General features: G+C 35.8%; 1 long non-coding RNA gene across 1 annotated transcript in view, besides 1 other annotated feature; it reads left to right on the forward strand.

The window, feature by feature from the left end:
- LINC02267 (long intergenic non-protein coding RNA 2267) overlaps positions 1-16,732 on the forward strand; it is a 507,713-nt gene that overhangs the window by 432,092 nt on the left and 58,889 nt on the right. The gene's annotated exons all lie outside the window — the stretch shown is intronic.
- Positions 496-1,695: an enhancer, noted in NCBI's record as "MED14-independent group 3 enhancer chr4:97664441-97665640 (GRCh37/hg19 assembly coordinates)". NCBI's record gives its function as "activates an origin of replication core promoter dependent on BRD2, BRD4, P300/CBP and CDK7 cofactors, and independent of MED14, by STARR-seq in HCT116 cells {active_cell/tissue: HCT116}" and the evidence as "EXISTENCE:reporter gene assay evidence [ECO:0000049][PMID:35650434]".

Consider the following 16,732-nt stretch of genomic DNA (forward strand, 5'->3'; position numbering starts at 1 on the left):
CCTCCCTTACGCCATGGGCTTCTGCATGCAGCCAGAGCTTCCCCGATGAGCGCCGTCCCCTGCTCCGTGGCGCCCAGTCCCATTGACCTCCCAAGGGCTGAAGAGTGCAGGCGCACTGCATGGGACTGGCAGGCAGCCCCGCCTGCGGCTCCAGTGCGGGATCCACTAGGTGAAGCCAGCTGGGCTCCTGAGTCTAGTGGGGACTTGGAGAACTTTTATGTCTAGCTGGAGGATTGTATACACACCAATCAGCACTCTGTGTCTAGCTCAAGATTTGTAAACATGCCAATCAGCACTCTGAGTTTAGCTCAAGGTTTGTAAATGCACCAATCAGCACTCTGTATCTAGCTAATCTAGTGGAGACTTGGAGAACTTTTGTGTCTAGCTCAGGGATTGTAAACGCACCAATCAGCACCCTGTCAAAACGGACCAATCAGCTCTCTGTAAAATGGACCAATCAGCAGGATGTGGGTGGGGCCAGATAAGGAATTAAAAACAGGCTGCGGAGCCAGCAGTCCCAACTTGCTCGGGTCCCCTTCCACACTATGGAAGTGTTCTTTCTCTCGTTGCAATAAATCTTGCTGCTGCTCACTCTTTGGGTCCGCACTGCCTTTATGAGCTGTAATACTCTTCAGGAAGGTCTGCAGCTTCACTCCTGAGGCCAGTGAGACCACAAACCCACCAGGAGGAATGAACAATTCTGGACGGGAGGAATGAACAACTCTAGACACGCTGCCTTAAGAGCTGTAACACCGTGAAGGTCTGCAGCTTTGCTCCTGAAGCCAGCGAGACCATGAACTCACCAGAAGGAATAAACTCCGAACATGTCCGAACAAGCTCCGAACATGTCCGAACATCAGGAGGAAAAAACTCTGGACACGCCACCTTTAAGAACTGTAACACTCACTGCGAGGGTCCACAGCTTCGTTCTTGAAGTCAGTGAGACAAAGAATCCACCAATTCCGGACACGTTTGGACAGTATGTGTAGCACATTTAATTCTCTGCTCACATCTAGATCACATCGTTTTATTTAATTGTTGTGGAGAGCATGTGAACTGTGTCCCTGGGATCTGGCACACACATAGTTTGGTGCTTGACTCTGGAGCAAAACTCTAGAATCAAGAAGCTGTGGTTTCTGAGTCAAGAGGGTCACAGGTGGAGCAGTCTTTGCTCTAAGCTGGGGTGTTTAAAGATGGGAAGCTTTCCTTGTGTGCCAGATTAGACTGCAAGAGCGATGGAGGTGGGGCCTTCCTTAAAGGGCCTTGCCAGAGGATGATGCCTGAGAGGTCCAGGCAAACCTTAACCCAAAGGGTAAACCTTAACCCAAAGGCACCCAAAGGGCTCCGATGCTCAATTACAACAGCAGCCATTAATAAAGACTTTGTCTCTTTTTTTCCTTTCCTTTGCCTCCCTCCCTCCTTCCCTTCCCTCCTTCCTTCCTTTATTCCCTCCCTCTTTGTTCTCCTCCTCCTTTTTTTCTTTTTGATTCACTCTTCATCCATCTGATCATGGGGAAATCAAAACAGCTGCTTACAATTACAGATTAAGGTAAAGGAAGCAAGTAAATAATCCAGTGATGATTCCCATTCTCTTGGTAGAAAACTGAGTCTGGGTTAGGCCTTGGATGAGGAAAGAGAAGCTGTTTCAAATTGTATGTCAGAAAAAAAAATGTGATTTAGCTCAGAAGGAACTTGTTAGTTGCTGATACATTCAGTATCCAAGATAAATGATAAAGCTCAGGAACTAAGAACAGATGAAACAATTGAAAACAATTGTGGGGGGCAAAATTAAGCTATTTGCTGATAGCTCTCTACTAAATTCAGCTCTTTGAATACACCCATCTCATTTGACTTTGCATCCACAATGACTAACATAAGTACTCAACAGATGTCTCCTGAAATAAATGAAAAACAGTTGAAAAATTGGTTACTTTGTTCTTTTGAACCCACAATTTTTTCTACATAGCTGGGAACCTGAAAGTAAAATATTACTTTATCTGGTAAGATTTGCTTTCAGGATCAGAAAAAAATCTTGGCATGCAATTGCATGGTATAGTGACTGTGTGCTGAAGCTGAAAACTTCAAGATAAAATGTGGTGTGTCATGCCTTGTCATGTTAAAATTTTAACAAAATTATAATTTTTAAAATATCTGTTCCTTTTCCTGCTTAGCTTGTGGTTAATGGTTTAAAATGGATGTCTGTTAACTGATTACAAGTAGACTTCTCTAACCTTCCATTGAAAATAAACTTAAAGATCAGAAAATAAAACAAAAACAATACTCAAGACTAAAACTACAATAAAGTGCTGCTACAAAGCAAGAGACATTTTATATAATTTTGAATTATACAAATTTCATTCAAACCATTTTCATGGTTTTTGCTCCATTACAAACCACCTACATTATTTACTTAGTACATTTCTTTAAATAAGATTGAATTTTTTATTTATCCTTGAATTGAACAATAATATTTTTGCTATTACTTTTTTCTAAAATTTGGTTTTCAAATCTCTATGTCAGAATAGTTAGTGATATTTCTATGATGCAAATTAAACACAGCTAGTAACACATAGTACACATCCCTAATTTCTCATCATTTCTTTTAAAAATCTGATATAATTCCTCTTGTGAGAGTCTAAATAAAACAGCAACTTTCCCATCTTATTATAGTGATAAAAGTATAAGAGCGAAATCAGAAGACATGTATCATTTTTTATTTCTCTATTCAAAAAGTCTATGACTATATGAGAGGTTCTAGAGGAGAATAACATGTTTGGAATCTACAAAAAGATTCCATCATCATCTATAATCATCCACAATAAGTCTGATACTTGAACTAAACATTTAAGCCATTTGCTTATTATTAGTTTTGTTATGCTTCCATCTTCTGTTCTCATTTTAAATGTACAGTTATGTGCACAAATATAAATTTATATAATGGCTTTCCTCATTTCCACATTCCATTCATTGACCAATTTTACTACATCTAAGAATGCTTAATATAAGTCCTATAGATTATGATTAAATGCGTACAAATTGACAAGCTTATTTCACTCGATTTGGGCTCTTGAAAATAGTTTTCATATAATGTATTGCAGTAAAGCCTAAATATTAATTAAGTCAAATTTTATTACATTCAAAGAACAGATATTGTGTGTCTGCCCTATGCAATGTTGTGTACTTGTTCAGTGGGAAATGCAAAAATTAATAATGCTGTGATAACAATTTTGCTATGAAAAACTTGCTATTAATTATAATAGAGATATGAACAATGTCACACCTCAAGAAACTAGAGAAACAAAAACTAAACCAAAACCCAACAGAAGAAAGGAAGTAAAGATCAGAGCAGAAGTAAATGAAATTGAAACAAAAAAATACAAAAGATAAATGAAACAAAAAGCTGGTTCTTTGAAAAGATAAAGAAAATTAATAGACTATTAGTGAGATTACCCAAGAAAAGAAGAGAGAAGATCCAAATAAGCTCAATTAGAAATGAAATGGGAGTTCTTACAACCAATACCACAAAAATATAAAAAATTATTCAAGGTTACTATGAACAACTTTTTGCACACAAACTAGAAAATCTAGAGGAGATGGATAAATTCCTGAAAATATACAACCCTCCTAGATTAAATCAGGAAGAAATAGAAACTCTGAATAGACCAATAATGAGCAGCAAGATTGAATCAGTAATAAAAACATTGCCAACAAATAAAGTCCAGGACCAGATTGATTAACAGCTAAATTCTATCAGACATTGAAAAAAGAATTGGTACCAATCTTACTGAAACCATTCCAAAAAATAGAGACATAGAGAATTCATCCTAAACCATTCTCTGAAGTCAGTATCACCCTAATACCAAAACCAGGAAAGGATATAACAAAAACAGAAAACTGCAGATGACTATTTCTGATGAACATAGATGCAAAAATCCTCAACAAAATACTAGCTAATCAAATCCAACAGCATATCAAAAAGATAATATATCACGCTCAAGTGGGTTTCATAACAGGAATGCGGGGATGGTTTAACATGCACAAATCGATAAATGTAATAAATCACATAAACATAATTAAAAACAAAAATCATATAATCACCTCAACAGATGCAGAAAATAGCATTTGATAAAATTTAGCATGCTTTATGATGAAAAAAAAAAACCCTCAACAAAATTGGCCTAGAAAGGACACACCTCAAAGTAATAAAAGCCACCTGTGACAAACCTTCAGCCAACCTCGTACTAAATGGGGAAAAGCTGAAAGCATTTCCCTTGAGAACAGGAATAAAACAAGGATGTCCACTTTCACCACTTCTATTCATCATAGCACTGGAAGTTCTAGACAGAGGAATCGACAAGAGAAAGACATAAAGGGCATCCCAGTCAAACTGTAACTGTTCATTGATGATATGATTGTTTACCTAGAAATCCCTAAAGACTTCTCTAAAATACTTCTAGATTTGATAAATAAATCCAATAAGGTCTCAGGAAACAAAATCAATGTACACAAATCAGTAGCACTCCTGTACACCAACAACCACCAAGCTGAGAATCAAATCAAGAATTCAATTCCTTCTACAGCAGCTGCAAAAAAATAAAATACTTAGAAATATACTTAACCAAGAAGGTGAAAGATCTCTACAAGGAAAACAAAGCACTGATGAAAGAAACCATAAATATTACAAACAAATGGAAACACATCTCATACTCATGGATGGGTAGAATCAATATTGTGGAAATGACCATATTGTCAAAAGCAATCTGCAGATTCAATGCAATTCCCATCAGAATACTTTCAGGATTCTTCACAGAACTAGTAAAACAATTCTAAAATTTATATGGAACCAAAAAAAGAAAAAAAAGCCCACATAGCCTAAACAAGACTAAGCAAAAAGAACAAATCTGGAGGCATCACGTTACCCAACTTTAAATTATACTACAAGATTATAGTTACCAAAACAGCATGGTACTGGTATAAAAATAGGCACATAGACCAACAGAATAGAGAACCTGAAATAAATCCAAATACTTACAGCCAATGTTCTTTGACAAAACATACAAAAGCAAAGGACACCCTATTCCATAAAAACTGGAAAAACTGGCAAGGCACATGTGGAAGAATGAAGCTGGATCTTCATCTCTTACCTTATACAAAACAAACTCAAGATGGATCAGATATTTAAATCTTAAGACCTGACCCCATGAAAAATTTAGGGGATAACATCAGAAAAATTCTTCGTGACATGAGCTTAGGCAAAGAATTCAGGACTAAGACCTCCAAAGCAAATGCAGCAAAAAGATAAATAAATAAGTGGGACCTAATTAAACTAAAAAGCTTCTACACAGCCAAAGAAATAATCAGCAAACAGTCAACTCACACCGTGGGAGAAAATATTTGCAAATCATGCATCTGACAAAGGACTAATATCTAGATCCTACAAGGAACTCAAATAAATCAGCAAGAAAGAAGCATATAATATCATCAAAAAGTGGGCTAAAGACATTGTATTATTCTGTTTTCATGCAACTGATAAAGACACGTCAGAGACTGGGCAATTTACATAGGAAAGAGGTTTAATGGACAACTCAAAGTTCCGTGTGCCTGGGGAAGCCTCAAATCATGGTGGAAGGTGGAAGGTGAAAGGCATGTCTCACATGGTGTTAGACAAGAGAAGAGAGCTTGTGAAGGGAAACCACCCTTTTTGAAACCATCAGATCTCATGAGACTTAGTGACTATCATGAGAACAGCACTAGAAAGACCTGCCTCCATGATTTAATTACCTCCATGGGGTACCTCCCACAACATGTGGGAATTCACAATGAGATTTGGGTGGGCACACAGCCAAACCATATCATTCTGCCCCTGGCCCCTCCCAAATCTTATGTCCTCACATTTCAAAACCAATCATGCCTTCCTAAGAGTCCCCCAAAGTTTTAACACATTTCAGCATTAACTCAAAAGTCCACAGTCCAGTCTGAGACAAGGCAAGTCCTTTCTGCCTATGAGCCTGTAAAATCAAAAGCAAGTTAGTTACTTCCTAGATACAATGGGGTACAGGCATTGGGTAAATAAAGCCATTCCACATGGGAGAAGTTGGTCAAAACAAAGGGACTAAAGGCCCCATGCGAGTCCAAAATCCAGTGGGGCAGTCAAATCTCAAAGCTCCAAAATAATCTCCTTTAATTCCATGTCTCATATCCAGGTCATGCTGATGCAAGAGGTGGGTTCCCATGGTCTTGAGCAGCTCTGTCACTGTGGCTTTGCAGGGTACAGGCTACCTCCCAGCTGCTTTCATGGTCTGGCATTGAGTGTCTGTGGTTTTCCAGGTGCATGTTGCAAGCTGTCAGTGGATCTACCATTCTGGGGTTGGGAGGATGGTGGCCCTCTTCTCACAGGCCACTAGGGAGTACCCCAGGAGGACCTCTGTGTGGAGGCTTCAACCCCAACTTTTCCTTTCTTCACCACCCTAGCAGAGGTTCTCCATGAGGGCCCCACCCCTGCAGCAAACTTCTTCCTGGGCATCCAGGCACTTCCATATATCCTCTGAAATCTAGGCGGAGATTCCCAAACCTTAATTCTTGACTTCTGTGCACCCGCAGTCTCAACACCACGTGAAAGTTGCCAAGGCTTGGGGCTTCCACTCTCTGAAGCAACACCCAGAGCTCTACATTGGTTCCTTTCAGCCACTGCTGGAGCAGCTGGGGTGTAGGGCACCAAGTCCCTAGGCTGCACACAGCATGGGGACCTTGGGTCCAGCTCACAAAACCATTTTTTTCTTCTAGGCCTCTGGGCTTGTGCTGGGACAGGCTACCATAAAGACCTCTGACACGCCCTGGAGACATCTTTCCCATTGCCATGGGGATTAACATTTGACTTCTTGTGACTTATGCAAATTTCTGCAGCCATCTTGAATTTCTCCTCAGAAAATGGGATTTTTTTCCTATCACGTTTTCAGGCTGCAAATTTTCCAAACTTTTATGTATGCTCTGCTTCCCTTATAAAACTGAATGTCTTAAGCATCACGCAAGTCACCTCTTGAATGCTTTGCTGTTTAGAAATTTCTTCCGTCAGATACCCTAAATCATCTCTGTCAAATTCAAAGTTGCACAAATCTCTAGGGCAGAGGTAAAATGCTGGCCATTCCTTTTCTAAAACATAGCAAGATTCATCTTTGCTCCAGTTCCCGACAATTTCCTCATTTCCATCTGAGACCACCTCAGCCTGGATTTTTTTGTCCATATCACTATCAGCATTTTGAGCAAAGCCATCCAACAAGTCTCCAGGAAGTTCCAAACTTTTCCACATTTTCCCATCTTCTTTTGAGCCCTCTACACCATTCCAACCTCTGCCTGTTACACAGTTCCAAAGTTGCTTCCACATTTTTGGGTATCTTTTCCTCAGCACCCCACTCTACTGGTACCAATTTACTGTATTAGTCCGTTTTCATGCTGCTGATAAAGACATATCCAAGACTCAGCAATTTACAAAGAAAAGATGTTTAATGGCAAATTCACAGTTCCACGTGGCTGGGGAGGCCTTACAATCATGGCAGAAAGTGAAAGGCATGTCTCACATGGCAGCAGACAAGAGAGGAGAGCTTGTGCAGGGAAACTCTCCTTTATGAAACCATCAGATCTGGTGAGACTCATTCACTATCATGAGAGCAGCAGGGGAAAGACCCGCCCCCATGATTCAATTATCTCCCACGGGATCCCTCCTACAACACGTGGGAATTCAAGATGAGATTTGGGTGGAGACACAGCTAAACCATATCAGACATGAATAATCATTCTCAAAAGAAGATATACAAACAGCCAACAAACATGAAAAAATGCTCAATATCACTAATTATCAGGGGCATTTATTTATTAGTTTATTTCTAAAGCATTTGAAATTAATTTGTAGACATTATTGCACTTAACCCTACATATTGCAACCTAAATTCTGGGAACTAAAACATACTCCTGTATAAGACCAATACCATAAATATATCCCATAAAAATGTTGATACAATACAATAAACTGAAATTATGATATAAAGTTTGTATTTAAGACTTCCCAATTATCTTGTTACTGTACTTTATAACTCTTCTTATGTTATTATTTGCCTAAATATAGGATCCCATTGTGAGTCAGGTTTCATTTTCTTTGTCAGTGTCCTAAAGAAAGTTTCCCAGCCTCTTGTCTTTTGGGATCACTGATATTTTTGAATAGTCAAAATCAGTTGCTTTTCATAACATCTCTCTGTTTGTCTTCATACAAATAGTTAAAAGTTATATATTATTGGCAAGAACACTCTCCAGGCAATGTGTGTACTATAAGGATGATTTCTTTTTTGAAAGGTTTTTAAGACATATTAAATCTCTTCAATAGATATAGGCCTATTAAGATTATTTCTTTTTGAGTAACTTTTGGTGGCTTTTTTTTTAAGAAATTAATCCATTCCATCTAGGTTTTCAAATTAATAGGCAGAGAGTTATTCATAGTATTTCCTTCATATTATTTTAATATCTGTGACTACCCTTCATTCCCGAAGTTGCTAGATGTACTCTTTCTTTTTTTCTTGGCTAGTTGGCCAGAGCTTTATAAATTTTATTGTTTCTTCCCCAACAATTTTGATAATTTTTTCATTGACAATTTCTATTGTTTCCCTGTTCCCAATTTCATTGATTTTGCTCACATATTTACTATATAATACCTTCTTATTGCATTGTATACAAATTATCTTATTTTACTTGTTTCATAAGGTGGCTGTTAAGATTACTGATTTGAGATAATTTATTTTCTTCTAATAAAAATAGCCAACACTTTAAATGTCCCTCTACTCACTACTTCGCCTGAATCTCACATGTATTGATATGCTGCAATTTTATTTTTATTTATTTTACTATATTTTGAAATTTCCTTCCTTCAAGACCTCCTACTTGATCCATATATTACTTAGAATTTTTTAATTTAATTTTTATGTTTGGGGTTTTTTGATATTTTTCTGTTACTGATTTTAAATTTTAATCTATGATGAGATAAGAAAATATACATTTTTTTTAGTTTGTAGTGGTTTAATGAGCTAGAAAATGATCTATCTTGTTGAATGTTTCATGTGCATTTGAGAAAATGTGTATTCTGTTGTTGAGCTGGGATTCAAATAGACTAATTTAGTTGATCATGTGTTCAGGTATTCTATATCATTATCAATTTTCTCTCTACTGCTCTATAATTTAATGGGAGAAAAGTCTTTATCTTTTATTTTAATACATATTGCTTATTGTTTTATATAGGGCAATTACTTTATCTCTTCAGTTAAGGCATAGTTTCAAATATCAAACTAGTTTTAAAAACTAGTTACAATTTATTATCCACAGACTCAATTATTATACAAGTATATAATAAAATTATTAGTTGGTGAACTAAATAAATTATTGTATTATTACTGCATAATTGTTATTACTCTACATAATCAAAATAGATTAAACATATTATTTATGTATCAAATCACTTCTATTTGTTTCGTTTCTTTATATATTAATATGTCAAGATGCAGACCCGGACGTATTTTCAAGAAGAGTTCATTATAATGTCAGATGTTCATTGTGAGTGATTCTACTTTGTTTAAAACATTTTCAATAGTCTTTTTAAAAGCTAAAAACTTCCTGTGCTATTATTTTCTACTTGGAAATTAAATATCTAAACTAAATTTTATCTCACTTATTAGCTTAGTATACTAGTACTACAGTTTGCAGAATCATGGAACATTTAATTAAATTGATTTTATGATATCATATTGCCTTAGGGAAACAAGCAATAATCTAATCTCACTTATAAATTAGAGCAGGGAACAGATACTATATTTTCCTATGTCTTACTAGTTGTGTTCTCTTTCATTATTATGAGTGCTCATACCACACTCTAACAAAAAATTATGATAAAGAGAAGTAAAATAGGTGGCTCTAATGACTTACTTTCTTGGTATATGAATATAACTTCTATTTTCTTGTTAATGTTTGTCATCTGAGGAGTTACAACATTACCTGTTAATTTATCCAAGTTCCACATGACTACATCAATGATTGTGAGTTATACATAATAACCCTTTTAAGCTGAAAATTATATTTTAATGAAATATTATTGGGCATTGAAAAACTAAAAGGAGATAAAAATGAGTTTTGATATTCACTTTTAGTTTGCATTAAGTAATCTTATAAAATAAATCATTAAAACTTTGATTGTTTTGATGAACACAACAGTTTGATTTTGTGTTATTAGTGATTCTTCTGCTCCTCTATTAGATTCTGCCTCACTTTGGTTCTGGGTACATGATATTGAGAGTGTTCTGGTTCCCACAGAGAAATTGCTGTTACTTTATTTTAGCAGCTCCTCTTACAATCTCAAACTACTCTTCAGTTTCATATCAGTTTCCCTGCTGAACTCTCTGAGCTCATCTCCCTTCGATTTTTTCCTTGCTGATTTCACTTTGGTCACCCAGATCTCTGCTGGTCCTTGATGGGCAGGACTTTCTGTTAGGGCTTTCACACTTGCACTTCCCAGAACACTCTACCCTAAGAATTTCTAAGGGATTTGCCATCCCCTCAGATCTCTGCTCAAATATCATCTCATTAGATAGGTATTTCAAAACCATTACTCTTCTGCTCATTTTTTTTATACATTCTTACAGTGACTTAGCATATTGTACAAGCATTTTCTATTGCTTATTTTCTCTCCTACCTTTCACCAACATTCCAGGTCCATGAAAGCACTTTGTTTTATTTATATCTATATTCCTAGAGCCTAGAGCTTTACCAGTAGGTAATGAACACTTAGGTAATATTATTTTTTATATTTATCACATGAATTAATGAGGATAACATGCCATGAATTGATGTATTAAAGCTTGTATTGCTATTAATTTCTCATGCACATATGTCTTGAAGTACTGTATATTGGTATGCTTTTATTTGTACAAACCCACACAACTTTAGATTCAAAAACAAAGCAAAGCAAAAACAATGCAGAACTGCTCACGTCTTTACTCATTATACTTTTTCAAAACATTCTAAACATAAGAAACAGCCATGTCAAGAGATGAATAGCACAAAATCTTAGCTAAACTGAGAATACACATTTACTTCTTGTGTCTCCAATGTGTTAAAATGTGCTACAATATTCAAGTGCTTTAGCTTCTCTTGAAACTTTTAAAACATTGTTCATATTTATAACATTTGATTCCAGTATTTGTGAAAACCCTTGAAGCATCGCTGTAGAACTGTAGATCTTCACAGAGCACAAGTAGAAAACCACTAAAGAAGAGGAATCTAGATCTCAACAGAAGATGACTCTTATGTAACCAGACAGAAAAGGCAGAAAGCAGGCTATGGTAAAATCCATTTTTATTATAAAACTCTTAGCCAAGGGATCACTTTTATAAAGTGGGGCTGCCATAAAGCTAAAGGACTTCAGGAGACCTCTTCTGTCTTGAGGAGGGTCCAAATCTTAATCCCCACTCCTGGATAGAACTGCTTTCAAAATATTCACAACTCCAAAGGGATAAACATTAATTAGGTTTCAAAGTCAGACATCTGCAACTAACATTTGTACTTACAGCATTTAAAAAATGTGCCGTAGTTCAATAGGTATGTACTGACTGTCTACCATGTGCAAAGAATTAGGAGGCACGGAAGGGGCTACAGAATAAATCAGCACTTTATTCATTCAACAATTATTTTTTGAGCTGCCACTATGTACAAGATATTGCTCAAGACCAAACAATCAAAAAATTGCCAGCCTTATGGAGCTGGAGGAATTAAGAAAGATTCACTGAAGGAGAAAAAATTAAAAGCATGGTACTTTAGGGGCATATATATATACTAAAGGTAATAATGTGAGCTAAGGAACACAAGTGAGGACAAGCAGGGTAGTTTCTGAGAATGGCCCAGGTACTTTGTGTTAGTTAAATGTAGATAAGCAATAAGAGATACATATACAGAGATAGGTAGCATTCATATTCATATTTGTGATCATTAATTTTATGTGTCAACTTGACTGCATTAATGGATACCATGATAATTAGTAAAACATCAGTTCTTGGTGTGTCTGTGAATCTTTAAGGGTGTTTCTGAAAGAGATATGGACTGAGTAAGATTTGAATCAGTGAACTGAGTAAGGAAGATTTGCCCTCACCGATAAGGGAAGGCATCATCCAATCCATTGAGGACCCACATACAACAAAAAAAGTAGAGGAAGGAAAGATAATGTCTCTCTTCTTGAGCTGGCTCATCTATCTTATCTTTCCTTTGAATATCAGAGATCCTTGTTCTTGAGTCTTCTGATTCAGACTGAATTGGACCACCAACTTTTTCAGTTCCCTGCCTTACAGATGGCGTACTGTGAGCCTTGCAGATGGCATACTGTGAGCCAATTTCCCTAATAAATCTTTTATATCTATATAAATTCTATTGGTTCTTCTTCTATGGAGAATCCTTACTAATACGATATTGCAGAGAAACTTAAATACCAAGTCAGAGGAATCTGTACCCAGTTTATTAGTCATGAAGAGCCAATGTAAGTTTTTGAATAGGCAAAGAGTTCTTAGTGGTCCGTACAAAAATTAAGAGTGCACTCATATGTTGATATTATCTAAAAACATTAATTTACCTACATTTTGTTTCCATATCGAAATTCCTATAGTGAAATGAAATGTGTCTCTTCACAAGCTGTTAGAAAAAAAAAATGAAAAAAATAACTTTGATATCTATGGTTCCTTTAACAGTTTTTAAGTTTCTTCTCTCTCTCTTTCTTTTCCTCTCTTCCTTTTTTTCATGAAAGATTAATGCAAGCATAGAAAATTCAACGTTTTTATATGGAGAACTAGATCCTATACATGTTACTAGTTATGTGGTTGAGCTCCTTGACCTATTTATCATTTTGAAAGAAACTGAAATGACTCTGTCAGGTGTAGAATGTGCCCAGATCAACACAATGCTCAGCCCCTGTGCTGTGATGAAGAGCAATATATTTAAGCATCTAATATTTATATTCACTTCAACTTGTTTGTTCATTTTTCATTGTGAGTGCCCATAGAGATGAAAGAAATTAGTTTCATTATTGATGACTTCTAAATACAGACAAGCTTAGGGAGGAATGAAATCAGACAGTGTTTGGTATTCCAAACTGAATGCTACATCCAGGCAGTGCCTGTTAAAGAAGGCTAATTAAAATGGTGCTTTCAATGATGCACTTACAAATCACCTTCTTTAATCTGTCATTTACATACACATATGTACATCAAACTGTCCTTATTAAAGAGGTAACAGAAGAAAAATCAAATAGGTAATTTTGACTGATATCACCTTTGTCTTTTGCTTTCACAAACACATAAAAGGGTTGAACAGCAGATTTCTTTCAGGTGAAGGCCTGAAATCTTCACATATGACTCAGCTTGCTACTCTAATGTCTATTCATTAATCTGTAGTGCTTTCTTGGGAGATAAGAAGCTTCTAAATGAAAATAATGAATGTTCTTCCTTCCGAGCATTTCCTCAGTAATTCATATTGTCCTGACATATATACAGAGTTCCTTCCCTGAGTTACCTTTGTGACCCCTGTTTAAGAGTGGAATAAAATGAGAAAAGGTTCAAGTTTAAAATATTCCTACAAGAAAATTAACTCTAAACACGTCTGTCAATACCTAATAAAAGAATAATTTAATACAAAAGAATTCCTAGCAATGCTAATCAACTTCCTGAAAATCATCAGGGTAGGACAATCATTTGCCCTATATTATTATTCTGCCCTTTTTGCAACAGAGCCCCTAAAAGTAAATAATGTGACATTTTCTTCTCAAAAATAATCTTTTTGACCATTTCCATGAAATATACATTAAGTTGTTTTAAAAGTCACCACTAATACCCTTGCCCTTTAGACCTCTGCTTGCAGAGATAATGAGTTAGAGTTTGCTGAACATTTCATCTCTGTTTCAGCCTCTTGCATGGTCATGGTATTGAATGACCCATCCTGGTAAAACATACTGTTTTTCTTTATTCTCATTACAGATAGACAGTAAAATCTCATTAGCTAACTGACTCAAGAACCCTGTGTGGTCAATTGAAATATGACCTACCAATTGGGAAGCGTTGCCTCTTTTTTAAATCACTTTTAAGTTGTGAGGCAGACAAGGAGATCAAGGAAAATTCAGTTGCTCTTCATTCATTTAGCCCTTAGTAAATAATGTCTCTAAAAAATAAGTCTAAATTCATTATACTACCTTCCTGAAAGTTTTCTAAAAGTGTTTCTAAAATGCAGTTAGAGGTAAGAGGGAGTAGATTCCTAAACTATTTATTATTTTTAGTTATAAATTTAGTTTATTGAAACAGTTATAGCTAAAAATACAAATTTCTTGCTTAACTATTAGGAAATATAAAATCTAATATCACTTCTCTGGATACTGATTATGTTATTATATTGTGTATGTTAATTCAAATGATTTCATTTAATTAATATCAATCAGGACAAATGAATGGATTTATTCATCCACACATTAGTTAGTGTCCCATGCTATATTGAACAGTGTTGATACAGACAAATGACATGTGGGGTCTACCTGTAAATTGAAGACAAGAAAACAGCCAATACAGTCTATATATTTTTACTGATACAGAATATTTTACATATATATGGGCTACATGGGATATTTTGTTACATGAATAGAATGTATAGTGATCAAATCATCATATTTGGGGTATTTATCACCTTGAATATTTATCCTTTCTATGTGTTGGGAATATTTCAGGTTTTCTCTTCTAGCTACTTTGAAATATATAAAATACATTGCTGCTAACTATAGTCACCTTACTCTGCTACTGAATATTAGAACTTACAACTTCTATCTAACTGAATGTTTGAATTCATTAACCCACCTCTCTGTGTCCCCCAGTTTCACCCACACATCCTTCCCAGCTGTTGGTTTCTATCATTCTCTTCTCTACCTCCACGTGATCTACTTTGTTAGCTCTCACATATGAGTGAATGCATGCAAAATTTGTCCTTCAGTGCCCATCTTATTTCACCAAACATAATGACCTCCAGTTTCATCCATGTTGCTACAAATCACAGGATTTCATTCTTTTTTATGGCCAAATAGAATTCCATTGTGTATATATAGCACATTTATTTATTCATTTACCTGTCAATGGACAATTAGGCTGATTTCATATCTTGGCTGTTGTATATAGTGCTGCAATAAACATGGGGGTGCAGATATCTCTTTGGTATCATGATTTCCTTTCCTTTGGATAAATACCTATTAGAGGGATTTCTGGATTGTACTGTAGTTCTATTTTTAGTTTTCTGAGAAATCTCCTACTGTTTTCCATAAAGATTATATTACTTTACATTCCACCAATGGTATATAAAAGTTCCCTTTTTCTCACATCCTTGCCAGTGTCTGTTATTTTCTTTCTTTTTGATGATAGCCATTTTAACTGGGGTGAAGTGATATATCTTTGGGGTTTTGACTTGCATTTCCCTGATGATTAATGATGTTGAGTATTTTTAAAAATATCTCTTGACCATGTGTATGTATTTTTTGAGGCATGTTCTTTGCCGTTAATGAGATTATTAATTATTATTATTATTATTATTATTATTTTGAGACAGAGTTTCGCTCCTGTTGCCCAGGCTGGAGTGCAATGGTGTGAACTAGGCTCACTGTAACCTCTGCCTCCCGGCTTCAAGTGATTCTCCTGCCTCAGCCTCCTGAATAGCTGGGATTACAGGCACCCACCACCACGCCCGGCTAATTTTTGTATTTTTAGTAGAGACAGGTTTTCGCCCTTTCGGCCAGGCTGGTCTCGAACTCCTGACCTCAGGTGATCCACCCGCCTCAGCTTCCCAAAGTGCTAGAATTACAGGTATGAGCCACCGAACCAGGCCAGAGATTATTATTATTATTTTTATTATTCAGTTGTTTGAGTTCCTTGTGTATTTCTACATATTAGACTCTTGTTGGATGAATAGTTTACAAATAATTTCTCCCATTGAAAAGGTTGTCTTTTCACTGTGGTTGATGGTTTCCTTTGGTATGCAGAAACTGTTTTGTTTAATATAGTTCCATTTGTCCACTTTTGTTTTTGTTACTTGAGCTTTTGAAGTCTTTGTCATAAAATCTTTGCCTAGACAAATGCTTTAGAGTGTTTTCTGTACATTTCCTTCTAGTAGTACTACAGTTTCAGATCTTAAATGTTAAGACTGTAGTCCTCTTTGAGTTGATTCTTTTTATATGGAGAGATACACGAGTTTAGTTGTATTCTTTTGCATATGGCAATTCAATTTTTTCAGCGCTATTTATTGAAGAATTTACTCTTCCTCCAATGTACATTCTTGATATCTGTGTCAAAAATCAATTGGCTACAAAAAGGTGGATTTATTTCTGGGTTTTCTGTTCTGTACCATTGGTCTATGTTTCTGTTTTTACAACAATACCATGCTCGTTTGGTTGATATAACATGTAATACATTTTGAAGTGAGGTAGTGTGATGCCTCCAGCTTTGTTCTTTTTGCTCAAGATTTCTTGGGCTATGTGGGCTCCTTTTATGTTCTATATGAATTTTAGGATTTTTTTATATTACTGTGAAAATGTCATTGGTAGTTTGATAGGGACTGCATTGAATTTTCAGGTTGCTTTGGATAGTATGGTCATTTCAACAAAATTAATTTTTCCAATCCATGGGCTTGGGATGTT

Source organism: Homo sapiens, chromosome 4 (genome assembly GCF_000001405.40).
Source record: "Homo sapiens chromosome 4, GRCh38.p14 Primary Assembly".
NCBI classification, from domain to species: Eukaryota; Metazoa; Chordata; class Mammalia; order Primates; family Hominidae; genus Homo; species Homo sapiens.